The sequence below is a fragment of the Homo sapiens genome, chromosome 19, assembly GCF_000001405.40.
Source record: "Homo sapiens chromosome 19, GRCh38.p14 Primary Assembly".
Taxonomy (NCBI): domain Eukaryota; kingdom Metazoa; phylum Chordata; class Mammalia; order Primates; family Hominidae; genus Homo; species Homo sapiens.
This window is the reverse complement of record NC_000019.10, coordinates 36,846,494-36,874,222: the sequence shown is the minus strand read 5'-3', so window position 1 is coordinate 36,874,222 and position 27,729 is coordinate 36,846,494. Positions and strand designations below refer to the sequence as shown.

Genomic DNA, 27,729 nt, shown 5'->3' with positions numbered 1-27,729 from the left:
CATGCCCAGCCAACATTTTAAGTTGAAAGTGTAAGATAAACAATGACCAATCAAAAAAGATATAATCTTAACTAAAAGTAAGGAAAGCCCACACATAGTTACACTTTTTGTGTATAAAAAAGTGTACGGTTTATGCTGCAGAACCCCAGAAAAACTTAAGAAGTGGAGGGAACTAAGTACCCATAAAAGTCTAACAATCAACATACAAAATATATAGCATACAGCTTCTTAGGGCCCACTCTAAATTACAAATAGATCACTACCTCATGAAGATATGTGCACTCACATGTTCAAAGCAGTATTATTCACAATAGCCAAGACATGAAAATAACCTATGTGCCCACTGATGGATGAACAGATGAAGAAATTGTGATATATATAAATGAATATTATTCACCATTGAAAAGAAAGAGATCCTGCCATTTGACAAAACAGACATGAAACTGGAGGACGTTATGCTACGTGAAATAAGGGAGACGAAGAGAAATACTGCATGATCTCACTTATATGTAGAATGTAAAAAAAAAAAAAAAGTACAGAAATAGCATACAGAATGGTAGTTACCAGGGACTGTCAGGGAGAAAATGGGGAGATGCAGGTCAAAGGATACAAAGTTTCAGACATGTAGAATGAATAAGTCTAGAGATCCAATGTACAACATGAGGACTATAGTTAATGACATTGTATTGTATTTGAGATTTTTGATGAGAGTAGATTTTTAGGTGCTCTTGCCACACACACACAAAAAGTGTAACTATGTGAGATGATGAACATGTTAATTTGCTTGACTACAGTCACCATTTCATAATATGTATCAAAACCTCATGTTGTATATCTTAAATATATACAAAAACAACAGAAACAAAAAATAGGCAAATATTAGATATTTGAGAAAAGCCTGTAAGATAAAAGACAGTAAACAAAGCAACCAAAGCAACTCAGAAGACAGACTATATAGGAGAACAAAGAAAACCTCAAAAGTCACAACGTATATTCTCATAAGGATATGAGAAGCTACTCCACATGATACAAGAATAGAATAATATGAAAGAAATATTAAGTGAAAAAAGTATTCATAGAAAATGAAAATATAAAGTTGGAATAAAAACAAATCATTCAAAAGTAAATAATAAAATATCTTTAAAACCCATACAAAAAAGATACAGAAATGGAAAATAGGAAAATATGGGAGATCAAGCAACAAAGTCCAACGTCTACTGAGAAGAAATCATTTTTAGAAGTTTGCTAAGAATCTACAAAGTGTGCTAGAAGAAACGGAGGAACCTGAAAATCACCATTTAAAAATCGTCAATAGGATAAAAGATTCAGGATCCTCAATGGATTCTAAAGCTGGATAATGAATTGTGCTGCGGAAAAGGATATTCACTTGATCTCACAGTATCACTCTACAGATTATTTATTAATTATAAAGGGAAAAATATATACCTGTTTAATAGAAAGATTTGGTACTCACCACCTTAATCTTAAGTGGTAAAACTTGATGCCTTAGTCTACTTGTGTTGCTATGAAGACATATCTAAGAGTGGGTAACTTATAAAGAAAAGAGGTTTATTTGGCTCACAGTTCTGCAGGCTGTACAAGATGCATGGCACCAACAGCTTCTTCTGATGAAGGTTTCAGGCTGCTTCCACTAGCAGAAGGTGAAGAGGAGCTGGGATGTGCAGAGATTATGTGGAGAGAGAGGAAGCAAAAGAGAGGGTCGAGAGAGGTGCTAGGTTCTTTTTAACAACCAGCTCTTTTGGGAAGTAATAAGAGCAAGAACTCACTCACCCACTGCCCCCCAGGGAGGGCATTAATCTGTTCATCAGGGATCCATCCCCATAACTGAAACACCTGCCATTAGGCCCCACCTCCAACAATGGGGGGAAAATTTCAACATAAGATTCGGAGGGGACAAACATCCATACAGCACTTGGCATCAACAGTAGTAGAGCAACCTGACAATATGTTCCTCCCAATGTAATACAATAAAAGATGTACCATCATACCACCTATGTGGTATGCTTGCCAAATATATTTAACCTGAATCTAAGCTTCCTATACATGAGAAAGCCATGAGACAAATAAAGGTTATGTGACATTCTATAAAATAATTGTCCTGGATTCTCAAAAAAATTCAATGTCATATAAAACAGGGCCGGGCATGGTGACTCATGCCTGTAATCCCAGCACTTTGGGAGGCCAAGTTGGGCAGATCACCTGAGGTCGGGAATTTGAGACCAGCCTGACCAACATGGAGAAACCCCGTCTCTACTAAAAATACAAAATTAGCCGGGTGCAGTGGCACATGCCTGTAATCCCAGCTACTAGGGAGGCTGAGGCAGGAGAATCGCTTGTACCCAGGAGGCGGAGGTTGTGGTAAGACAAGATCGTACCATTGCACTCCAGCCTGGGCAACAAGAGTGAAACTCCATCTCAAAAAAACCAAAAAAATTCAAAGTCATATAAAACAAAAAATGAGAGACTGCTCCAGATTAAAAGAGACTAAAGAGATCCAATGACCAAATCAATATATAAATCTTGACTGGATCCTAGATCAGGCAAACACATACCCAAGTAAAACAAACAAACAAACACAATAGCAGCTAAATAAAGAGAGCTTGAAGACTACTGGAGCTGTCTAAATATAAAATGCTTAAGAATATTATTAAGTCTATTTTAATTTCCTTAGGTTGGAGATATATCATTAATACTAAGGAGATATATGTTAAAATTATTAATGGTAAAATGTGAAGATGTCCCCAACATATTTTCAAATGACTCACAAAAAAAAGTGTATGTGTGTGTATTAATAAAGATAAAGGAAATGTGGCAAAATGGCAACAACTGAAGAATTTGGGTGATGGATGATAGAGTCTGAATGTTTGTGTCCTCCCAACCCCCAAATGAAATGTTGAACTTTAGTTATCAATGTAATGGGGTAAGGAGGTGGGGCCTTTGGGAGGTGATTAGGTCATGAGGGCAGAGCCCTCATGAATGTAATTAATGTCCTTAAAAAAGAGTACCCAGAGGACTGCCTTTCCCTTTTTACTATGTGAGGACAAAGAGAGAAGGTGCCAACTATGAAGCAGAAAGCAGGTCCTTACCAGACACTGAATCTGCCAACATCTTGATCATGTACTTTCCAGCCTCCACAACTGTGAGAAATAAGTTTCTTTTGTTTATAAGATAACTAGTTTATGGTACTTTGTTACAGTGGCCCAAACAGAGGAAGAAAATGGGTATTCAGAATTCACTGGAATAATCTTTTTTTCTCTATGTTTGAAATTTTTCAAAGAAAACAGAAAATACAGATTGTTCTAAAAAGTAGCATTAAGGGCAACTTCCCAGACCTGAAAGAAATGAGTCTCCATATTTAATGGGTCCACTTGGTATGTAGTATAAAAAAAAGATGATTTACATTTACATATATTTTTATTAGGTTCTAGGACACTGGGAACAAAGAAAATACCCTAAAAGGCTCCAATATGCAAAGACAGGGTATAAACCAAAGACCAGGAATGAAAATGGCTTTGGAGTTCTAAACAATACTATAAGACAGAGATCATAATTTTAAAATTCTGAGGAAAAATATTTTTAATGTAGAATTCCATGCCCTGCCAAAGAATCAATATAGTGGTTGAAAAATATACCAGAACTCACAAAATTTAATTCTCATTCATCCTTTCTCACATGCCACCAATATCAAGAAGAACCAAACCAAGAAACAGGAAGGCAAGGAATCCAAGAAACAAAGAACTCAACGCAGAAGGGCAGTGAATTTAAAAAGATAGAATTCTAGAGTAATAGTGGTACAAGCAGTCAGTAGAGAAAAAAAGGATCATAGAAGAGATGTCTCTAAACCCAAGAAACTGACAGAACATACTGGAAAAAGATTTATTTTCCAGTAGATTTTGAATATAAATTAGTGATAAATATATGGACAAAAAGGTAATAGTAATTAAATGGAAAACAAAGTTGCGTAAAAATATAAGCGTGATTCACAGCTCACTTATGAATAAAATCTGTTAAAAAGACGCAAGCCACAGAATGGGTGATGATATTTACAAAACATTTAACTGTCAAAGAACTAGCAGGTAAAATATAAGATCTTTCTCAAATCATTAATAAAAAACTAAATGGGCTGGGTGCAGTGGCTCAAGTCTGTAATCCCAGCACTTTGGGAGGCCAAGGTGGGCGGCTCACTTGAGGTCAGGAGTTCGAAACCAGCCTGGCCCACATGGTGAAACCCTGTCTCTATTAAAAATACAAAACAGTTAGTCAGGCATGGTGGCACACCAGGCGTGGTGGCATGTGCCTGTAATCCCAGCTACTTGGGATGCTGAGGCAGGAGAACTGCTTGAACCCAGGAGGTAGAGCTTGCAGTGAGCCGAGATCACGCTACTGCATTCCAGCCGGGGCGACAGAGCAAGACTCAGTCTCAAAAAAAAAAAAAAAGCTAAATGATCCAAGAGAAAAGAAACCACTAAATAAATAAGAAAACACTGCCATATTCACTCCTGGTCTTGTTTATGCCCTGTGTAATAATTTGTCAGGTCTTTGTCCTAGGGTTCCTAGCACAGAGCTAGACATGTCTTTGCTATGGATCACACCTGAGTTTATGCTAATGAGGTAACTCATGGTGGACCCGAGTAGCTTCAGAATTGGGGCAGTCATCAAAAATACTTTTAGCTAGCCAGTCTCTGAGGAAGAAAGTGGGGCTGGAGACTGAGTTCAGTCATGTGGCCAATGATTAATCAATCATGCCTACATAATGAAATTCCACCCCAAAGTTCAGTGGGGCTTCCTTACTGGTGAACATATCAATGTGTTTGGAGGGTGACACACCCTGCTTTCACCAGGAAAGGGCATAGAAACTGTGTATAGGTCCCTTTCAGACCTTGCTCTATGTGTCTCTTTACTGTGCTGTTCCTAATTTGTATCCTTATCTTTCATAATAAAACTATAATTTTAAGTGTAGTGCTTTCCTGAATTCTGTGAGTTGTAGTAAATTACTAAATGAAGGGGGGAGGGGGAGGGAGTCATGGGAACTTCCTGGAATTGTAGCTAGTTGGCCTAAAGTAAGGGCAGATTTACTGGGGACTGTATGCTAAAACCTATGGAGTCTGACACTAACTCTGGGCAGCTAGTACCAGAACTGAATTGCAGTACATCAGTTGGAGATTAAATAGATTAAAATCCCATGTTCATGGATTAGAAGACTTAACATGAAGATGGCAATACTCGCTAAAATAATCTGCAGATTCAATACAATCTCTATTAACACTTCAGTGGCCTTTGAAATGAAAAGCCAGGCGGGGCGGTAATCCCAGCAGTTTGGGAGGCTGAGGCGGGTGGATCACGAGGTCAGGAGTTTGAGACTAGCTTGGCCAACATGGTGAAACCCTGTCTCTACTAAAAGTAAAAAAATTAGCTGGGCGTGGTGGCACGCACCTGTAATCCCAGCTACTCGGGAGCCTGAGGCAGGAGAATTGTTAGAACCCAGGAAGCGGAGGTTGCAGTGAGCCGAGCTCCACCACTGCACTCCAGCCTGGGCAACAGAGCAAGACTCCATCTCAAAAAAAAAAAAAAAGCCACTCCTCATATCCATGTGGAACTGCAATGGGTACCCAAAATCATATGGAACTGTAATGTGTATTGAAAATGAAAAAGTAGGACTCACTTCTTCCAATTGTAAAACTTACTATTATAAAGCTACAGTAATCAAAAGGACTGGCCTAAGAACAGCCTTGTAAACTAATGGAATAAAACTGAAAATCCAGAAATAAACCCAAACATCTATGACTAATAGATTTCCCAGAAGGCCAGTTAAGTCCACTGAATGGAGAAAGAAATGTCTCTTCAAAAAATGGTATTGAGACAACTGGATAAACACATGCAAATATAAAATGTGAACTCAAGGCCGGGCGCGGTGGCTCACGCCTGTAATCCCAGCACTTTGGGAGGCCAAGGCGGGTGGATCACAAGGTCAGGAGTTTGAGACTAGCTTGGCCAATGTGGTAAAACCCTGTCTCTACTAAAAGTAAAAAAAATTAGCTGGGCGTGGTGGCACGCACCTGTAATCCCAGCTACTCGGGAGCCTGAGGCAGGAGAATTTTTGGAACGCAGGAAGCAGAGGTTGCAGTGAGCAGAGATTTCACCACTGCACTCTAGCCTGGGCGACACAGCAAGACTCTGACTCAAAAAAAAAAAAAAAAAAGCCACTCCTCATATCCATATGGAACTGCAATTGGTACCCAAAATCCATATGGAACTGCAATGTGTATTGAAAATGAAAAGGTAGGACTCTCTTCTTACAATTGTAAAACTTACTACTACAAAGCTACAGTAATCAATAGGACTGGCCTAAGAACAGACTTGTAAACTAATGGAATAAAACTGAAAATCCAGAAATAAACCCAAACATCTATGACTAATAGATTTCCCAGAAGGATAGTAAGTCCACTGAATGGAGAAAGAAATGTCTCTTCAACAAATGGTATTGGGACAACTGGATAAACACATGCAAATATAAAATGTGAGCTCAAGATGGATCAACAACCTAAACAGAAGTGCTAAATCATAAAATTCTTTCAAAAAAACAGAATTTCTAATTCTTCATGACCTCAGATTTGGCAATTAATTCTTAAATTTAACACCTAAAGCACAAGCAATGAAAGAAAAGAATACATCAATTTAAATTCATCCAAGTTAAAAGTTTGTGCTTCAATTGGGTACAGGGTATTTCTAGAGGCAGATGAAAAAGGTTTAAAACTAGAGAGAATCAATAGTTGCACAATATTGTGAATACAGCAAATACCACTGAATTTATACTAAATACCACTGAATTATACACTTTAAAATGGTTAAGTGTATCTCATGTGAATTTTGCCTAAAAGAACAAATCTTGGGGAAAAAATGAGAAAAGGAGATAAAAGATAATACAAATGAAAAGATGTTCTGTTTCATCAGTAGTCATGGTCATACAAATTAACACCATAATTAGATATTACTAAGTATACTAGGTAGGTAAAAAGTGTGACTATTCCAAATGTTGGTAAAGATGTGGGAAAAACGTGGCAAAGGCGGCGGCAAATATACACTGTTGGAAGTAGACCACTTTTTCATACAACCACTTTGAAAGAGTTTGGTTATCTAGGCTAACACATGCACATTCCCTATTACCCAGCAATTCCACTCCTAGGTAAAACATCCACTACAATGTTCATAACAGTTTTATTAAGAGTAAAATGCTGGAAACCACCAATTATCCACATAAAAAATATGTTGGACAAAATACACTGTGATATAGTCATAAAGGTTATTAAATAATAGTGGAGATAAACAAGATATATCTAAACTATTCAACATGGGCCAGGTGCGGCGGCTCACGCCTGTAATACTAGCACTTTGGAAGGCCGAGGCAAGTGGATCGCTTGAGGTCAGGAGTTTGAGACCAGCCTGGCCAACACAGTGAAACCCCGTCTCTACTAAAAAATACAAAAAATTAGCTAGGCTTGGTGGTGCACGCCTGTAATCCCAGCTACTTGGGAGGCTGAGGCAGGAGAATCACTTGAATCGGGAGGTGGAGGTTGCAGTGAGACGAGATTATGCCATTACACTCTAGCGTGGGCAACAGAGTGAGACTGTCTCAAAAAAGACAAAACAAAACAAAACTTAAAAGAACACATATATTATTATTCAATTTACATAAGTTTAAAAGCAGGCAAAGCTGTATAATATTCTTTAGGGAGTTATACAAAGTTGGCAAAAAATTATAATAGCAGAGAATGATTTTTACAAAATCTACTTAATAGTTACACTTCAGTGGAGAGCGAAAGAGATTAATTTGGTTTGGGCAGGCAGATGGCTTTGTGGTATTAGCAATGTTGTATTTTTCCAATCTTCATGGTGGTTATATGGGTATTATCACTTAACCTAAAAAGATTTTATGTATTTGAATATATAAAATATTTCAGGAAAAACCTCAAACTTTGAGGGGAAAAGAAGAAAAAAGAAACAGAAAGAACATTTTTCAGTTTATCTGATGAAAGTAGTCTAACAGCCATGATACCAAATAAGACAAAATACTAAATATGAAGAGAGAATAATTTTGGGCTAATATAATTTATGAACACACACACACACCCTAAATAAAACTCTAGCAAACTGAATAAAATAATTAAAAAAGCAAACTTTATGAATAAGTTGATTTTATCCAAGGAATACAAGGTTGCTTCAACACTGAAAAATCAGTTAATTAATTATATTAACAGAATAGAGAGAAAAATGCACAATTGTCTACAACAATCAGAGAATTTGATAAAACCCAACATCCAGTTACTGTAAGAAGAAACACAAAACTTGAACAAGCTATGAGTGGAAGGTAATTTCCTCATTCTGATGAACAGCACCTACAAAAACCAGGAAGGGACACGTCAAATATGTGCATGTCCGTAAAGGCTGTAGCAAATAAAACATGTAAGTACTAGAAAGCAAGAAACAAAAGTGATGTTTGCAGATCTTATGATTGCCTATATGGAAAAATTCAAAAGATATAATCATCTATCCATTTAAAAAAGTACTATACAAAAAGTAGCTGGGCGTGGTGGCACATATCTATAGTCCCAGCTACTCGGGAGACTGAGGCAGGAGAATCACGTGAACCTGGGAGGTGGAGGTTGCAGTGAGCCGAGATCGAACTACTACACTCCAGCATGTGTGACAGAGTGAGACTCTGTCTCTATCAATAAATAAATAAATAAAAATTTTGAAAAGTATTATATCCCTATCTCACAGCAAAGTCAGTCTTAGATAAATGACTTACATTTTAAAAAATTAACTTTAAAACTCTTAGAAGACTATGTGCTAGTTATCAATGTATTGCCCCTAAGTTCCAAATTCACCCTTTATTCACCATTTTTTCACTCTGCAAAAGCAGACCTGGGCTATAGAAATATTTTTCCTTGCCAGAACAATGTTAAGCTTTGCCAGTAGTGGATGTCTGAAAGACACTGCAGGAGGAAGGGGCGTTCCTTTCTGGTTCTGGCATGCTTGCTGGCAGGCGGCTCCAGAATCCAGGTCCACCTCCTGCAGCACATTCAGTTTCCCGAGCACCCAGTTCCTGCAGCATGGGTGACTTTACCAGGCTTCCTCAGTCAAGCAGCTTCTCTAGCTCCCGGCTCTTAAAGTACAAAGTGGCCAGCAGCACCCAGTAGCCTTGTCTGAAAGTTTTGTAGCAAATGCTTCTGGTAAGACAACCCAGTCTGCCACACAGGATGGATTCCTGGCAAATTCTAGAGCACAGATTTCCAGCAAGTTCCACAGCAGGAACAGGACATGGCTAAGGCAAGTGAGGCACTTATGGCACAAAACTTGAGGCTTTCACTCTCAGATGCCAACCCTGCACGTATAACCCTGACGATGACTGTCTTAAGAATGAGGAACCCAGGGTGCAAAATTTGAGGCATTCCGTCTCAGGGTCATCCAAGTGTAGTTACATCTGACGGTGAGTGCTTCTCACCGTCTCACTTGCCTCATCTTAGTCCCAGCCCTTTACCACAGCAATTACTGTCATTCAATGAGCCACGGATGTGCACTCTCCAACAAGGGCTGGATGTTAACCCTGGGAGGGCGTCTTCCTCGGACTCTCTACCATTAGTAGTGGCTGCTCTTATTATTTTTTTTTTAAATTTTTTAGAGACAAGGTCTCACTCTGTCACCCAGGCTGGAGTCACCCAGGTACCCAGGCACAATCATAGCTCACTGCAGCCTCAAACTCTTAGGCTGAAGCCATCCTCCCACCTCAGCCTCCCAAGTAGCTAGGAATACAGGCACATGCACCACACCTGGCTAATTGGCTGTTTTATTTTTCTTTTTGTAGAGACAGGATCTGGTCTGAAATTCCTGGCTTTAAGTTATCCTCCCACCTCAGCTTCCCCAAGTGTTGGGATTACAGATGTGAGGCATCATGCCCGATCAATGGCTGCTCTTTATGGCTGTAATTCCCATGGTTTTTAGAGTTTCCTTTACTTCTTACTGGTCAATCCTTTGTTACTCTAGTTCCACGATGGTTAATAATTTTTTATATTAAACTTTCCTAGTTCAAATTGCTGTGTTTTCTGTTCCTTGATTAGATATTGACTGCAACAGAATTGGTAACTGATGTCGTTCCAAGTGAAAGGCCTGTAAAGATGGAACTTTGGGATTAGTTTGGTCATGCCTTTTAGTATCTTTTTGCTAATCCTTTGGGATTGACTGCAGTGCAGAGTTCCATGCCAATGGGATTTGGGTTGGTAGAAATTAATGGCATGCAGTAATGTTACAATTAATTAGGCCATGGTTGATTGGAATGAAGTGTCAATTAAAGCACATGCCTTGGGAGCTAAATAGTTGCTGTACTTGACCATTATGGCAGTAATGATATAAGGACTGCGGTGTGGGATGGATTAACTTATGTTAACTTAAATGCATAAAGAGAAGCTGATAAGCCCAGGTTTATTAACTCTCAGTTCAAGTCACAATCTGAGAATGAGAGCATTTCCATAAAAATCCTAAAAGAATCTCCCCTTTCTTGTAGCCAAAGGGCTGACATTGCTGAAAAACACAGAACTGCTCAGCTTGCTGAATTATGATGAATGTTGAATTCACAGTCTTGCCACATTTTTCATGTGAAAGAAGAATGGCAAAGAATAGGAACCTGAAATTTGGAGTTGGGACATACGGATGGGACCCAGATGAAACTGGCAATCTTGAACTCCTAAATCACTGTGGGGATCTCTCTTACTAGTGGAAATAACTTGCAATCCAGCATTTGAGAAACTAGTTTTCCTCTGGTTGAAAACCCTATGATAACATCATCTGGAGTAGTGCAAAGGGCATGCTCATTCTCTTTAAGATCCACCAGAAATGTTGTCTGTTAAGACAGTATTTAGGAATGAGCCTGGAACATCTTCTCATTCCAGGAAGTAAGGAAATGCTCAATCCTCATTATAGACCTATAATGAGGGTCCAATCTCAGCATAACCCAGAGAGACAAGTATATAGTATGACCCAGGAGGAAATAACTCACCGTATTAGTTTGCTAGGGCTGCCATAATAAAATACCACTGACTGGATGGTTTAAATAACAGAAATTTGTTTGTTCACAGTTATGGACATCAGTCCAAGATTATGCTGATTGCGGGTTTGGTTTCTTCTGAGGCCTCTCACCTTGGCTTGCAGATGGTCACTTTCTTGCTATGCACTCACATGGTCTTTCCTCTGTGTGTATCCTTGGCATCTCTCTGTGTGTCCAAATTTCCTCCCTTATAAAGATAGGAGTCAGGTCGAATGAGTACTCACCTTAATGGCCTCATTTTAACTGAATTAAAGGCCCTGTTTCCAAATACATTCACATTCTAAGGCGCTGGGGTTTAGGCTTTCAAGATATGAATTTTGGAAGGGACACAATTGAGCCCATTAACACGCACCAAAACAAGGGTTGTGGGAGCAGAGTGATGATGCTCTAACTTTACCTTTTTGCATAGTTTTAACTTTTTTTTTTTTTTTTTTTTTTTTGAGACTGGGTCTCACTCTGTCGCCCAGGTTGGAATGCAGTGGCATGATCTTGGCTCACTGCAACCTCTGCCTCCCAGGTTCAAGTGATTCTCCTGCTTCAGCTTCCCAAGTGGCTGGGCCTACAGGTGTGCACCACCACTCCTGGCTAATTTTTGTATTTTTTGGTAGAGACGGGGTTTCCCTGTGTTGCCCAGGCTGGTCTTGAACTCCCGGCCTCAAGTGATCCACCTGCCTCAGCCTCCCAAAGTGCTGGGATTACAGGTGTGAGCCACCACACCCAGCTAGTTTTAACTTTTGGTAGCATGCTAATATTTTTACATACTCATACAATCAAGTCACCAAGAACAGAGTAATAAAAAAGGCCAAACGGTAGGAACTAACAAACTTAAATGTATTTCAAATGAATAACAAAAGCAACTTTAATGGGGGAAAAAACCAAATCCAAGTAAATTAGAACACAATATTTTGATTACGTACTCCCAGTCCAAAGATAAAGAGAAGTTGGCCGGGTGCAGTGGCTCATGCCTGTAATCCCAGCACTTTGGGAGGCTGAGGCGGGCAGATCACCTGAGGTCGGGAATTTGAGACCAGCCTGACCAACATGGAGAAACCCCGTCTCTACTAAAAATACAAAAATTAGCCAGGTGTGGTGGTGGACACCTGTAATTCCAGCTACTCAGGAAGCTGAGGCAGAAGAATCACTGGAACAGGGAGGCAGAGGTTACAGTGAGCCGAGGTCATGCCACTGCACTGCAGCCTGGGTGACAGGGCAAGACACCATCTCAAGAAAAAAAAAAAAAAAAAGGCTGGGCATGGTGGCTCATGCCTATAATCCCAGCACTTTGGGAGGCTGAGGCTGGCGGATTGCAAGCTCAAGAGATCAAGACCATCCTGGCCAACATGCTGAAAACCAGTCTCTACTAAAAATACAAAAAATTTGCTGGGCGTGGTGGTGCACACCTGTAGTCCCAGCTACTTGGGAGGCTCAGGCAAGAGGATCACTTGAACCCAGGAGACAGAGGTTGCAGTGAGCGGAGATCACGCCACTGCACTTCAGCCTGGTGATAGAGCGAGACTCCGTCTCAAAAATAAATAAATAAATAAAAATAAAAAGATAAAGAGAACTATAAGCAAATACTGAACCCTACTTAGTATTCTTGATTTTTACCACAGTATAGGTTAGCATTCTCACATTCTGTATGTATAAATTCTAGACTTGAACAAATTCGTAAATCTAATGAGGATAATGGAAGCCAGGTTTCTTACTACTACAGAAGGAAGATATAAATATGGAACAGGTTGTGACAAGAATGAACACTGCAGTCCCATCACCTAGATATTGGTTTCCAAATATTCACATTGCAAGGAACCAGAGCTCTTTAGAGAAATGATTCATTCCAGGCTGGAGCTAAGACAGTATTTAGGAATGAGCCTGGAACATCTTATCATTCCAGGAAGTAAGGAAATGCTCAAAGAATCATGGAGACAAGTCAAAGGAACACAGAAGCCAGCCAGAATGGGTTCCTGCTGGCCAAATCTGGGACAACTTGAGTATAAAAATAAATAACAACAGATTATAACCCATTGAGGAAAGTAAACATCTATGAATTCATATTGACATAAACGAATAAGTGGGAGAGAAGGGAAAGCTCTTCTTTATAGTAGAATGCCAACCAATTAATACAGACAAAATAATGGCGATAGAAATCAAACAAAAAAAAAACCCTCCCATTATTACTATTACATCTTACTAATAACAGACCCAAGAATAATTATCAGTGGATGGATGTTAAACTAGTGGGGAAAAGTTTGGTGAGTAGTTATTTACACAGTTACAAAGTACATCTCCACAAATTATCTATTAATTACAAATAGACAACTGTCAATATTACAGTGGAGAAACATGGTAGATATCCCCTTAACAAATTATCAAAGTTAACATCTCCAGAAATGGAATAAATCAAAATCATGTATCTCCTGAGATGATGCAGCAAGAAGGATACAATATTACCTTTATGGTATTCCTGCCACAAAATTCATAGCCTGAATGTAAGCATGAAGAACCAGAAGACAAACCCAAATTAAGGGACTTTTTACAAAATAAATGGCTTCTCCTCTTCAAAAATTCCAAGATCATGAAAGACAAAGAGAGAGCAACTCTTCCAGATTAAAGAAGACTAGAGAGACATAATTAGTAAATTTAAAGTGTGATTTTAAAGTGGATCCTGGATAGATGAGGAGAAAGGGTAGGGTGGTTTGTTATAAAGAACATTACTGGGATGAATCAAAAATTTTAAATATGGATTAGAGTATCATATAAATGTTAAAATTTTAATAACTGTACTGTGGGTTATGTAAGAGAATAATCTTGTTGTTAGGAAATAAAGGGGCAAAATATCTGCAACTTAGCTGGACGCGGTGGCTCATGCCTGTAATCCCAGCACTTTGGGAGGCCAAGGCAGGCGGATCACGAGGTCAGGAGATTGAGACCATTCTGGCTAACACGGTGAAACCCCATCTCTACTAAAAATACAAAAAATTAGCCGGGTGTGGTGGCGTGCGCCTGTAGTTCCAGCTACTCGGGAGGCTGAGGCAGGAGAATGGAGTGTACCCAGGAGGCGGCACTTGCAGTGAGCCGAGATCACGCCCCTGCACTCCAGCCTGGGCGACCCAGCGAGACTGTCTCAAAAAAACAAACAAACAAACAAAAAAATCTGCAACTTAGTCTTAAATGGTACAGATAAAATGTGTGTAGGGTGTGTCTGTGTGTGTGTGTGTGTGTGTGCAGAGAGAGAGAGGGAGAGAGAGAAGAAAACAAGTTCATATGAGAATGATAACGCAAATAGGCAAAAGGTAACAACTGGTGAATCTGAGTGGTACACAGGAATACTTTATGCTATTCTTTTAACTTCTACAAGTTTCAAATTTAATAAAAATTTTAAAGTTAACAAAACATATTCCTAAATAATTCTTATGTTAAATATGAAACTAAATGGAAATACAAACAGCCTAGAAACGAGGTAAACAAGAGCAAGATACATATCAAAAACTGGACATCAAGAAATTACCAAATAAAAAGTAATTGATAGAATTAAATGCCTGTATAAAAATAATATAAAACAGATTTGAATTCAATGTCACAAAAAAAGAATCTCAAAATTAAAAAAAAAAACAAAAGAACTGGTGAAGATAAAAATAAAACATAAAAGTCTGGGTGTGGTGGCTCACGCCTGTAATCCCAGCACTTTGGGAGGCTGAGGCAGGAGGATCACTTGAGGTCAGGAGTTTGAGACCAGCCTGGCCAACACGGCAAAACCCCATCTCTACTAAAAATACAAATATTAGCTGGGTGTGGCGGTGCATGCCTGTAATCTCAGCTACTCAAGAGGCTGAGGCAGGAGAATCACTTGAACCTGGGGAGGCAGAGGCTGCAGTGAGCTGAGATCATGCCACTGCACTCCTATACTCCAGCCTGAGCAACTGTCAGGCTGTCAACAACAACAAAAAAAAAACCATAAAAAAGTTTAAGATTTACAAAACCCAAAGCTTTTGAAAGTTTTTTTTTTTTTTTAAAAAGAAGACTGCTGATTAAACGTGGTATGTGTATGTACCATATACTTTAGGTTTTCTCTCCCACAAGACACCACTAAGATGACCAGTGTATTTTCATACAATAAATTGCTAGGAAGTGCACAGATATGGCAGATATTGTTGATTGCCTCTGCCAAAACTACTCCTTCCGCTACTTCCTTGATACATGACTTTGATTTTTCTTCCAGTTACTGTGCTCAGCTCCATAAAACAAATCACGATTGTCTAACTCAGTGATTCTCATTCCTGAGTGTACATTAGAATCACTTGGGTAGCTTTTTATTTTTTATTTTGATTTTTATTTTTTGAGACAGCATCTTACTCTGTCGCCTAGGCTGGAGTGCAGTGGTGCAATCTTGGCTCCCTGCAACCTCCACCTCCCAGGTTCAAGGGGTCTCATGCCTCAGCCTCCCGAGTAGCTGGGACTACAGGTGCCCACCACCACACCCAGCTAATTTTTCTATTTTTGGTAGAGACGGGGTTTCACCATGTTGGCCAGGCTGGTCTCGAACTCCCGACCTCAGGTGATCCGCCGCCCGCCTTCCTCCTAAAGTGCTGGGATTACGGGCGTGAGCCACTGCACCCTGCCTCTTGGGTAGTTTTTTAAATATTCCAAAGTTTGAACCCACTCCGCATCAAATTAAATTTTAATGCTTTTCTATCAGCTTATATGCGCTGAAGTCACCAGTTCTCAATTGTGGCAGTGCATAGAGTCATCTGGTGACCTTTTAAAAATTGTGATTGGCTAGTCCAAGTGCAAGTGGTGTTTACAACTAATTGATCACAACCAGTTACAGATTTCTTTGTTCCTTCTCCATTCTCACTGCTTTGCTTGATTAGTCTTAAAACAATAATAAGAAAAATGGGCTTGATTAGTCTTAAAACAATAATGAGAAAAATGGCGATGCTCAGGCCATACCCCAGACCAATTAAATCAGAATTGCTGAGGGTGGGACCAGAGGTTAGTAACCAAGGTTAAGAATAGCTAGCTTAGGCCAGGCGCAGTGGCTCATGCCTGTAATCCCAGCACTTTGGGAGGCCTAGGTGGGCGGATCACCTGAGGTCAGGAGTTTGAGACCAGCCTGGACAACATGGTGAAACCCCATCTCCACTAAATATACAAAAAAAAATTAGCCAGGTGTTGTGCCAGGAGCCTGTAATCCCAGCTACTTGGGAGGCTGAGGCAGAATTGCTTGAACCCAGGAAGTGGAGGTTGCAGTGAGCCAAGATCGTGCCATTGCACTCCAGCCGGGGTGACAAGAGCAAAACCTAGTCTCAAGCAAACAAACAAAAAAAGAATAGCTTAAATGAAATGAAATCATTATTTGTTCTAAGTGCTATTTTGTACCTTATGCAGCTATAAGTGACCTAACTGGCAGTTAGAAAAGCAGATTCTGTTAGAGACAACTGAGTGTACTGTGAAGTGATCAAGCCAATATGAAATTATTTTGGAAGTATTTACTGACATTTAAGCAGTGGCTCACGCCTGTAATCCCAGCACTTTGGGAGGCTGAGGCGGGTGGATCACCTGGGGTCGGGAGTTCGGGACCAGCCTGACCAACATGGAGAAACCCCGTCTCTGCTAAAAATACAAAAAAATTAGCTGGGCGTGGTGGCGGGCGCCTGTAGTCCCAGCTACTCGGGAGGCTGAGGCAGGAGAATGGCGTGAACCCAGGAGGCGGAGCTTGCAGTGAGCCAAGATGGCGCCGCTGCACTCCAGCCTGGGCGACAGAGCAAGACTCCGTCTCAAAATAAATAAATAAATAAACAATTTTTATAAGAAAAATATATTCATTAATTATGTATATAATTATAATTTTACTGAAAAGGAAAAAAACAAGCACTAGCATTTGGCCAAAGTAGATGGTTATTTATAAAGCCAATAATTTGTAAGCAAACTATATTCAACAAAAAAGCCTTGGTGAAATAACTCTATGAGGCCATTACAATTCGTGATAAAGATAAATGTTAACATGGACAGCTGTTGATATGTATTTTGGCATAATAAACACAGGTTACACAGATCAATAGCTACACAACGATTGCATTAAAAAAAGAATTCTAAGTATTTGCTGTAACAATTTGATGGTAGTTATATCTAATTGATAGGATTACAGATGACCTTTGTTTTTTCTTTATCCTTCTATTTTCTAAATGTGTTGTAATAAGGAATTCTTTTTGTAATGAAAATAAAGAATACAGCAATCTTTTTTTTTTTTTTTTGAGACGGAGTCTCGTTCTGTCACCCAGGCTGGAGTGCAGTGGCACCATCTTGGCTCACTGCAGTCTCTGCCTCCCGGGTTCCAGCGATTCTCCTGCCTCCCAGGTAGCTGGAATTACAGGTACCTGCCACCATGCCCGGCTAATTTTTGTATTTTTAATAGAAATGGGGTTTCACCGTGTTGTCCAGGCTGGTCTCAAATTCCTGACCTCAGGTGATGCGCCTGCCTCGGCCTCCCAATGTGCTAGTATTACAGGCATGAGCCACTGGCCTGGCCAAATACAACAATCTTAAGAAGTGACACATCTGATCATGTATTCAAAGGTTTTTGAAAGAAAATCTAAACATGGTTCAGGCGGAAGCACAGAGACATAAATCAAAGAACTGAAAAAAAATTCAAATATATAATACGAATTACTTATAATATCACCAAGTAGGCAGTACAAAGTAAGAGAAAAGCAAATAAGTTATCACTGAATAAATAATATGGGAATAAGACCAGGTAAATGAGAAAAAATTGAATTTAGATCCCCAAATCAAAGCAAAACAAATTTAAAATGGATTGAAAAGTTATATATAAGAGAACGGAAAGTCACAATCCTGGTTCTAAATGATTTACAATGTAGGTAGGGAGCAAAACTTACATATAAGATATTTTGGGAAAAACCAAAGGCATTTAGTTAAATGCTTTCTACTGTAATTGATATAGAGGTCCCAAGAAAGAAAAGTAAAGAAGGGAAATAACATTTTCTCAACACCTGATGTGTATTAAGTGTTGTGCACATAAGTTATTTCAATCTTGACGACACTGACAGAAAATTATTATCTCTTCTTCACAGGTTAAACTCACAAGTGGTATGGGTGAAATCAGATGCCACATTTTTCTGATACTTAAGGTCACGCTCTTTATGTCGTATTACAGAGAGATAAGGCTAGTGTGGGTAAAATAATCTGAGATGACTTTTTTCCCAATGAAGACAATATGTGAACTAAAGAGTTGGTAAGAAAAGATGGCAAAGATGTAGAGGCAGAAATTACCTCACACAGCACAGTGGAGGTGATAGGTCGGGAAGAGAAAAGCGTAGTTAAAAAGAAACATGGGCCGGGTGCGGTGGCTCACGCCTGTAATCCCAACACTTTGTGAGGCCGAGGTGAGTGTATCACCTGAGGTCAGGAGTTCGAGACCAGCCTGACCAACAGGAAGGATCCCTGTCTCTACTAAAAATACAAAATTAGCCAGGCGTGGTGGCACATGCCTGTAATCCCAGCTACTCGGGAGGCTGAAGCAGGAGAATCACTTGAACAGGAGACAGAGGTTGTGATGAACCGAGATCACATCATTGCACTCCAGCCTGGGCAACAAGATCGAAACTCTGTTTAAAAAAAAAAAAAAAAAAAAAAAAAGGCCAGGCTCGGTGGCTCACGCCTGTAATCCCAGCACTTTGGGAGGCCGAGGCGGGCAGATCATGAGGTCAGGTTATCAAGACCATCCTGGCAACACCGTGAAACCCCGTCTCTACTAAAAATACAAAAAACAAAACATTAGCTGGGCGTGGTGGCGGGGGCCTGTAGTCCCAGCTACTTGGGAGGCTGAGGCAGGAGAATGGCGTGAACCCGGGAGGCGGAGCTTGCAGTGAGCTGAGATGGCGCCACTGCACTCCAACCTGGGTGACTGAGCGAGACTCCGTCTCAAAAAAAAAAGGCTGGGCGTGGTGGCTCACGCCTGTAATCCCAGCACTTTGGGAGGCTGAGGCAGGCGGATCACCAGGTCAGGAGATCGAGACCATCCTGGCTAACACAGTGAAACCCCGTCTCTACTAAAAATACAAAAAATTAGCTGGGCATGGTGGCGGGTGCGTGTAGTCTCAGCTACTTGGGAGGCTGAGGCAGGAGAATGGCAAACCCAGGAGGTGGAGCTTACAGTGACCCGAGATTGCACCACTGCACTCCAGCCTGGGCAACAGAGAGAGACTCCATCCAAAAAAAAAAAAAGAAAAGAAAAGAAAAAAAAGAAATCTGATAAGTGAGAAGAGTAAAAGATAACGAAAAAGCAGGCTTGATTGTACCAGATGTTACTAACATAAAAAATATTAGACAATAAATATCTACATTTACATCTAAATCTAATTTTCATATCCCCACTTCCAAAAACGTATTTGAGAAGGCCAAGAATAAAAGAAAATGTTAAAAATTATATTAGTACATAAAGAGCTGGAGAAGATAGGAGTGGGAGGATACCGTATATAAAGAACCTTACACCCATAGCTTTGTCTTTCCTCAGGCACTGTTACCAGTAACCTGCTTATTGGCTCAAAGTTCCAACCCTTTGTCTGGAGTCCAAGACTGATCTGAGGGAAAAGGCAAGCCATGTTTCTGCTCAACTCCAGGGTGAAGTTAGAGGTCTGAGGAAAGAATAAGGTGCATTTAAATGAAATTCAAGTTTTGGAAGACATCAGAAAGGGAATTTTCAATTCCTTTCTTGTACAACCTAGCTGTTCAAGTTACCATACATTTTAGTCTTTCTAATACAGCTGCTTTTTGAGGAGGAGGAAGAGGTGGAGGAGGGGGACAAGGACAGGCAGGAGGAGATAGGTGCTCAATAAAAAAAAAAAAAAACAAAACCCAGGCTAAAATTATCACTATGATTGATCATTATCTGAACTGCTCAGATTCCAGACAGTCAATGCCAAAGGAATACTCTGTACAACGAATTACGTGATTCCTACTTGTCTAGAACTATTTATAGGAGATAAACAAGACCTTGTTGAGAAACACTAAGACCTACATCCACTGAGAGGCTCATGTTATTAGAAGAGTCCCCCATTGTCTCTTGGCCTTTTGGCTCAGATCAAGTGTAGAAGAGTTTCCAAATTTCTACTCAAAAAATTATACGTACCATGCAATTTCATCAAAATTCCAAGAGATGTTTGGGTGGAACCAAGCTAATTCAACAATTGACACGAAAATACAAAGAAACACAAATAGCCAAGACACTCTTGAGGAAAAAGAAGGTAAGTGTACTTGCTCCAAATACAAAGTTACAGTGAGTAAGACAGTATGTTATTACTGCGAGGAGTGACAAATAGACCAGTGGAACAGAATCCAGAAATAGACATAGACATATATGTTCACTTGATTTTTTTACTAAAATGGCACTGCATATCAGTGCAGAAAATATGAACTTTCCAATAAATGATACTATAATAACTGGATACACACTCGGGAGAAAAATGAAATTCAATCCTACCCTATAAAAATTCCAGGTGGTGTAAAGACCTAAACATTAAAGCCTACCCTAGAAAGCTTTCGGCTTGGCCAGGTGCGGTGGCTTATGCCTGTAATCCCAGCACTTTGGAAGGCTGAGGTAGGCAGATCACCTAGTTCCAGGCCAGCCTGACCAACATGGAGAAACCCTGTCTCTACTAAAAATACAAAATTAGCCAGGTATGGTGGTGCATGCCTGTAATCCCAGCTACTTGGGAGGCTGAGGCAGGACAATCACTTGAACCCAAGAGGCGGAGGTTGTGGTGAGCCGAGATCATGCCATTGCACTCCAGCCTGGGCAATAAGAGCGAAACTTCGAGTCAAAAAAAAAAAAAAAAAAAAGAAAGAAAGAAAGCAAGCTTTTGGCTTTAAGACCAAAGAAAATCTTCATTATCTTGAGGTAGACAAAAATTTCTTAAACAAGACTAACCATAGGAAATGATTTTATTACAATGAAATCCAGAACTTCTATTTGTCAAAAGGCACCACATAGAGTGAAAAGTCAAACCAGAGCAGGTGAAAATACTTATCACACATACAACTGAAAAAAGATTAATTTACAGAAGATATATACACATATGTACAACTGCCGTAAATCAGAGAAAAACCCAATTAAAAATTGGTCAAATATTTGAACAACACCTTATAAAAGGGGACATTCAACTGCACTCCAGCCTGGGCAATAGAGACTCAGTCTCAAAAAAAAAAAACAAAAAAAACAAAAAAGGGGACATTCAAATGGCCAAGAATCAATGCTCAACTTTATTAGCAATAAAGGAAATTTAAATTAAATATAACATTAGACACCCACCAGATTGGCAAAAATTTAAGAGTTTTATGATGTCTAGCATGGATGTGGAGCTAAGAAAACTCTTGTAAACTGCTGGCATAAGTACAGTATCTTTAGAGAACAGTTTGGCAATGTTTGGTAAAACTGAAGATGTACAAACCCTACCTATTAGCACTTTTTTTTTTTTTTTTTGAGATGGAGTCTCACTCTGTCACCAGGCTGGAGGGCAGTGGCACAATCTTGGCTCACTGCAACCTCTGCCTCCCGGGTTCAAGCGATTCTCCTCAGCCTCCCAAGTAGCTGGGACTACAGGCGCGTGCCACCACGCCCAGCTAATTTTTGTGTTTTTAGTAGAGACGGGGTTTCCTCATGTTGGCCAGGATGATCTTGATCTCTTGACCTCGTGATCCGCCCGCCTTGGCCCCCCAAAGTGCTGGGATTACAGGCATGAGCCACTGCATCCAGCCACTATCAGCAATTTAATCACTAGGTATATATTCTAAAGAAATGCAAGCAAATGTGTACCAAAATATGCGCACAAAATGATCATAGTCACACTGCCTGTAGTAGCCAAAAATTACAAGACAAATGTCCATCAAGAGTAGAAGGATAAGGCCGGGCACAGCAGCTCACGCCTGTAATTCTGTCTCAAAAAAAAAAAAAAAAAAAGAAAGAAAGAAAAAAAAAAGAAAAAGAAAAATTAAAACCATCTGACAAATCAGTAAGGGAAAATCAGGTGTGGGAGGTGGGGTTTGAAGACACCACATTTTCTCAAAATGGAAACTCCAGGGATCAGGTCATCTCATAGGCAAGAATTTTCAAGAGAAGGAAAGCAACTATGTCCTGACAAAGAAAAAGGGATTTTTCTTAAACAAGAGGACAGGACAAGCTACCTTGCAGGTGCCTTGTGGATGTTCAACAGCCATTCTTTACTCCTGTTCGGAGGCCTCTATCCAAGCAGGGCAGGGCTGAGGAAGGAGAAAGCAGTCAGGAAACATCAGGTTCTTCTGAGAGGGAGTTGGTTTGACTATGTCAGAAGTTATCTTTGCTCAGCCCCTACTGCCCATCACCTACAGAGGAAGGTCAGAGAAGTCTAGGGCATCCTGCTTAATCCGGGCATCACAGACAACGGTAGGGTCAATGCCGTTCTGGGCAGAACCTGTCCCTGAGCTCACAGGGGTCTCCAATGGCTGAAGTCACAAAGACAAAGACTCCCCATACCTACATTGGCTATACGGACACATAGTCACACAAACTCACTCACACCGCAGGGACATAAACGTCACAGGCACCCCAAACCTAAACACAACACACAATCACACACTCATACACACCACGGGGGTAGACACGGACACAACCACAGAGTCCGTGGGCATCTCTCAAATTCCCAGTGACATACACCTTGGGGTCACAATGACAACAAATTCACACGCACCCTCCATCAACAATATCACCAACGCGCGCGCACACACACACACGGAAGCAGCCACAAACCTCAAAATTAAGGCATACTACACACAGTTCGGCAAATGGTAGTAAACACACACACACACACCCCAAGGGGACATACAGTCACAACCGCGGTCCAGGAACCTCACACTCGCAAACACAGTGCCCAACCCGGTCACAATTAAACTCTACTCACACCCGCACAAACATAAACAAAAAGTCCTCCTCCCCGCCCTCACAGTTCCATACACGGTCGCACAGACACACGCCCCCAGTCACAACCGTACACACTCCTCACAATCGCTCCTTAGCCTGTTCCCCACGCAGCCCACACAGGTCGGGAGTTCCTGTCGCGCCAGGCTCCGAGCCGCCTCACTTACGCCTGTTCGGATAGGGTCAGCTCCGTTCTACTAGAATCCACACAAGTCGACCCTAGCTATCTCACAAAGCCCCAAGGCCGCTTGCCCAAATCCGCGGGAAGATCCCGCCCACTCCTCAAGAGACAATCTAGTTATCGCGGGAGAGTGCCCTGGGCCTAGAGGCTTCTGGGAAGTGTAGTCCAGAAAGCGACAGGTTGCCGAAAGCTACAGCCCAGCCATCCCGATTCCCCTGGCGCGGACTCTGGCACCAACAAAACTATCTCTTTGAGGTGAGCTGCCCATCGGAGCCTTCCGGGAGTCTCACCTGACAAGGAGTCCCTAGACCAAGCTTTAGTCAGGCTCCTCTGAGCCCTTTTTGCTTGGCCAGGCCTCCTCCATAGCCTGCGAACAGCACTTCAGCAAGAATCCAGCTAAGCCAGTTTAGTAACAATCCCCCCACTCTTGATACTTAACTTCCTCTTAGTAATTTAGCATCCTTTAACTCCTTCACCCAGCCCGTTAGCTATAAATCTCCAGCTGCTGTTGTATTGGAAGTTGACTATTGCAATAGTCTTTAACCAAGTCCTTCTTGCCTGTTTAAGTCCTCTGGGGCAAGCTTTCTTTCACCCCGCCCAGCCTCAGAGGGCGGCTCCCGGGCTTCCGCCCCTCCTCGGGAGACATACTGGACCGCAGGGTCTCCTGGGAAACGTAGTCCAAGCCTCGCCGGGGATAGATGGGCCCAACTAAAGTGTGCTGCGTTCTCTGGGTCCTGAGGCGGCAGTCTGGCCGCAGTGACCAGACTAACTGTGCCCCGGAGGCTGCTTGGAATTCCACTTAACGCTGGAAGCACGCAGACGCTCTTGAGGCGGGCAGCTGCGTAGCGTGTGGAGGAGCCGGGAGAGCGCACCCCAATGTGGCACCTGAGCGTCTGGGACCGAACCAGCATGGGGAGTCGGAAGGGGACAAATCCGCGATCCCAGTCATGCATGTGAGACTGGGCAAAGGAAGGCTCGAGTGTGTGTGAGACCGCGGTGGGCCTGCTTGTGCTGGTGGGATGAGGGGTGTCTGGGTAGTTGAGTGAAAGAAACCGCGTGCGGGTCAGATTGGTGTGTGTGTGAGAGAAGTGAGGTCAAGATGTGTGCAGCTTTGGGCGTGGGGAGGTCATATTGAGTGTGTGGAGGTGGGGGGGGCAAGATCGTGTATGGATCTGTGTATGAGTGTGTGTAATCACCTGAATGTGGGTCACTGCGTGGGTAGCTGATACTATGACTGTGGAGGAATCTGAACCTCCAAGTCTCATTTTCTCTTTAAATTGTGATAACAAGGTTGTATCTTCCTGGTGCAGCAGTTTTAAAGGGGGGAAGCTCCATTACTGATATAATAAAATAGCATTTTTTATGTAAACATTTAACATTCAGACATTTCTTCTGAACTAGAGTACAAAATCAGTTATGAGTACTCCAAGTAGTTTAAAAAAGAAACCCGTCATAATAGATGCATATGGGGAAGATAAATAGTGAAAGGGGAACTTCCTTTTCACTATACTCTTGTTAAATTTTTAAAATCAATGTGAGGACTCATTTGAAAACAAATATAAAATTAAAAAACTGACAGAAAGGGGAGCTAGGAGGAAATCAATAATTTTTTAAGCTAGAAACTTTGGGAGGTGGTAGAGGTTGCCGAAATATGATGGCAGGAAGTGTATGACAACAGGAAATGCTGATGTAAAATATAATCCTGAAGCTTTTAACAATGGCAGGAAGGGCCGGGCATGGTGGTTCATGCCTGTGATCTCAGCACTTTGGAAGGCTGAGGCAGGAGGATCACTTGAGCTCAGGAGTTTGAGACCAGCCTGAACAGCATACTCTCTACAAACAAAACAAAACAAAAAAACCAAGCATGAGTGCGGTGGCTCACGCCTGTAATCCCAGCACTTTGGGAGACTGAAGTGGGTGGATCACTTGAGCCCAGGAGTTCAAGACCAGCCTGGCCAATATGGTGAAACCCCGTCTCTACTAAAAATACAAAATTAGCTGGGCGTGGTGGTGTGCACCTGTAATCCCAGCTACTTTGGAGGCTGACGCAGGAGAATGGCTTGAACCCGGCAGACAGAGGTTGCAGTGAACTGAGATCGCACCACTGCACTCCAGCCTGGATGACAGAGTGAGACTCCGTCTCAAAAAACCCCCAAAAAACAAGGGGACCTCCTCTTTCGGCTTTGGAGCCACCACCCCCCCAACCCCCATCTCTGTATGGGGGAACTTCTTCCTTCTGTCTTCTCCCTTCCTTCTTGCCTATTAAACTCTCCGCTCCTTAAAACAAAACAAAATACAACAAACAAACAAACAAAAAGACCCAAAAAACAAAAACAACAAAATTTGGACTATACAGGCAAGCGATCTATACCTAATGTGGCTCTGTTGCTCTAGTTCTCCAGCATCACATTCCTGTACAGCTCCATCTGAACATCTTTTAATTATGGCTAAGGCTCTTGGTTGAGTGAGGCAATCACATTTTTGTATGTTTACCCCACCAATGTCTCCTAAAAAACAGAAAAAAGAAAACGCCTGTGGGGTAGTCCGGGAAATAAGCTGTTTGAACTCAGCCCTTTGTGTTTCTATGAAGGCTTCATTATGTAGGCATGATTAATTAAATCAGCAGCGATTGGTGATGAGTTCAACCTTCAGCCCTTTTCCTTTTCCCAGAAGTCATGGGGTAGGGCAGAACTTTCCAACATTCTAATCACATGTTTGGTTGCCCTATCCTGTGGTTATGTAGGGGCTTTACTAACTTCACCTCATTAACTCACTTGTGGTTGAAAGGGGTTGGTTAATGAACAGTAAAGACATCTTTCACATTTATTACTCTGGTGCTATTTCAGGAACTGAAGTGTCTTAGTCCCTTAGTACTTCTACAGCAAAATACCTGAGAAGCAAAATACCTGAAAAGTAATTTGTAAATAATAGAAAATTATTTCCCACAGTTCTGGAGGCTGGGAAGTTCAAGATTGAGATGCCAGCAGGATAGGTGTCTGGTAGGTCTGCTCTCTGATTCCAAGATGGGACCTTGCTGCTGCATCCTCCACAGGGCAGGAATGCTGTGTCCCCACATGTCAGAAGGTACTGAAGGGCTGGACCCATTCCCTCAATCCTTTTTTTGAAAGCACTAATTCCATCTATGTAGGCTCTTCCCTCATAATTTAATCACCTCCTAAGGGCTCCACTTCTTTTTTTTTTTTTTGAGACAGAGTCTCTCTTTGTCGCCCAGGCTGGAGTGTAATGACGTGATCTTGGCTCACTGCAACCTCCATCTCCCCAGTTCAAGTGATTCTCCTGTCTCAGTCTCCCAAGTAGCTGGGATTACAGGCACATGCCACCAATCCCGGCTAATTTTTGTATTTTTAGTAGAGACGGGGTTTCACCATGTTGTCCAGGCTTGTCTCGAACTCCTGACCTCAGGTGATCCACCCGCCTCGGCCTCCCAAAGTGCTGGGATTACAGGCGTGAAGGGCTCCACTTCTTAATCTAACACATTGGCGATTAAGTTTCACTATATAAATTTTGGGGAACACATTCAGAACATAACCAAGGACAAAAGAACAAGTGTTTTTGTTTTGTTTTTTGTTTTGTTTTTTTTCCCAAGACAAAGTCTTACTGTATTGCCCAGGCTGGAGTGCAGTGGCGCAATCTCGGCTCACTGCAACCACTGCCTCCCGGGTTCAAGCAATTCTGCCTCAGCCTCCCGAGTAGCTGGGATTACAGATGTGCGCCACCACACCCGGCTAATTTTTGTATTTTTAGTAAAGACAGGGTTTCACCATGTTGGCCAGGCTGGTCTTGAACTCCTAACCTCATGATCTGCCTGCCTTGGCCTCTCAAAGTGCTGGGATTACAGGTGTGAGCCACCGCACTTGGCTAAGAACAAGTGTTTTAACAGAAAATACTCTGTTTAGGAAACTACAAGGGTTTTAGGACCCATGAACCAAGAACCATGGGCATGGATAAAGACCAAAATACATATTTCTTATTACATCACAATATCAGAGAGGTATAGACTCAGGATTGGTTGGTTTGCATATGTAAGCTGTGCTCATTGGAAAACTGTGATTATCTTTAGGAATTAGCCCTGAGAGGAGCAGCCTCTCCCTGTTTTTGGTAAGGTCCCCAAATGCCAGAGCATCAAGAATACAGAAAATAAGAAAATATAGTTAATATAATTGGCCTCTTGATGAACGAGTGCCAAATAGACTAATAGAGAATCTAAGGAAATGCAGTTAGAACACAGAGGCTATGTAAGTATTTACCTTCCACAAATGGTGAACTAATTTTTATTCCAACCAGAAATGTATGAAAGTTCCTATTTCCTGTTCCTGTCAACCATTGTATTTCTTCATTCAGCAGATATTCATTGAGCTCTTTTTTTTTTTGAGACGGAGTCTCGCTCTGTCGCCCAGGCTGGAGTGCAGTGGCACTGTCTCGGCTCACTGCAACCTCCGC

General features: G+C 41.4%; 2 protein-coding genes across 17 annotated transcripts in view, besides 1 other annotated feature; one reads left to right on the top strand and one right to left on the bottom strand.

Moving 5' to 3' along the window:
* The window catches only part of ZNF345 (zinc finger protein 345), a 42,854-nt gene extending 18,996 nt beyond the window's left edge, over positions 1 to 23,858 (bottom strand). For 2 of the 14 annotated variants that reach the window (NR_038362.2, NM_001242472.2), the window contains exons 1-2: positions 23,255 to 23,347; positions 22,319 to 22,393 (exon numbers count right to left, since the gene is read on the bottom strand). The gene's annotated coding sequence lies outside the window, so the exon portion shown is untranslated. The other 12 variants (XM_047438566.1, NM_001242474.2, XM_017026570.3 and 9 more) reach the window with 12 other exon arrangements.
* The window catches only part of ZNF790 (zinc finger protein 790), a 33,365-nt gene continuing 29,066 nt past the window's right edge, over positions 23,431 to 27,729 (top strand). The window contains exon 1 of one of the 3 annotated variants that reach the window (NM_001242800.2): positions 23,431 to 23,523. The gene's annotated coding sequence lies outside the window, so the exon portion shown is untranslated. Of the gene's footprint in view, positions 23,524 to 23,937; positions 24,222 to 27,109; positions 27,525 to 27,729 lie in introns of those variants that run through there. The other 2 variants (NM_001242801.2, XM_047438800.1) reach the window with 2 other exon arrangements.
* Positions 23,585 to 23,824: an enhancer, noted in NCBI's record as "active region_14535". NCBI's record gives its function as "activates an Ori minimal core promoter by ATAC-STARR-seq in GM12878 lymphoblastoid cells {active_cell/tissue: GM12878}" and the evidence as "EXISTENCE:reporter gene assay evidence [ECO:0000049][PMID:35858748]".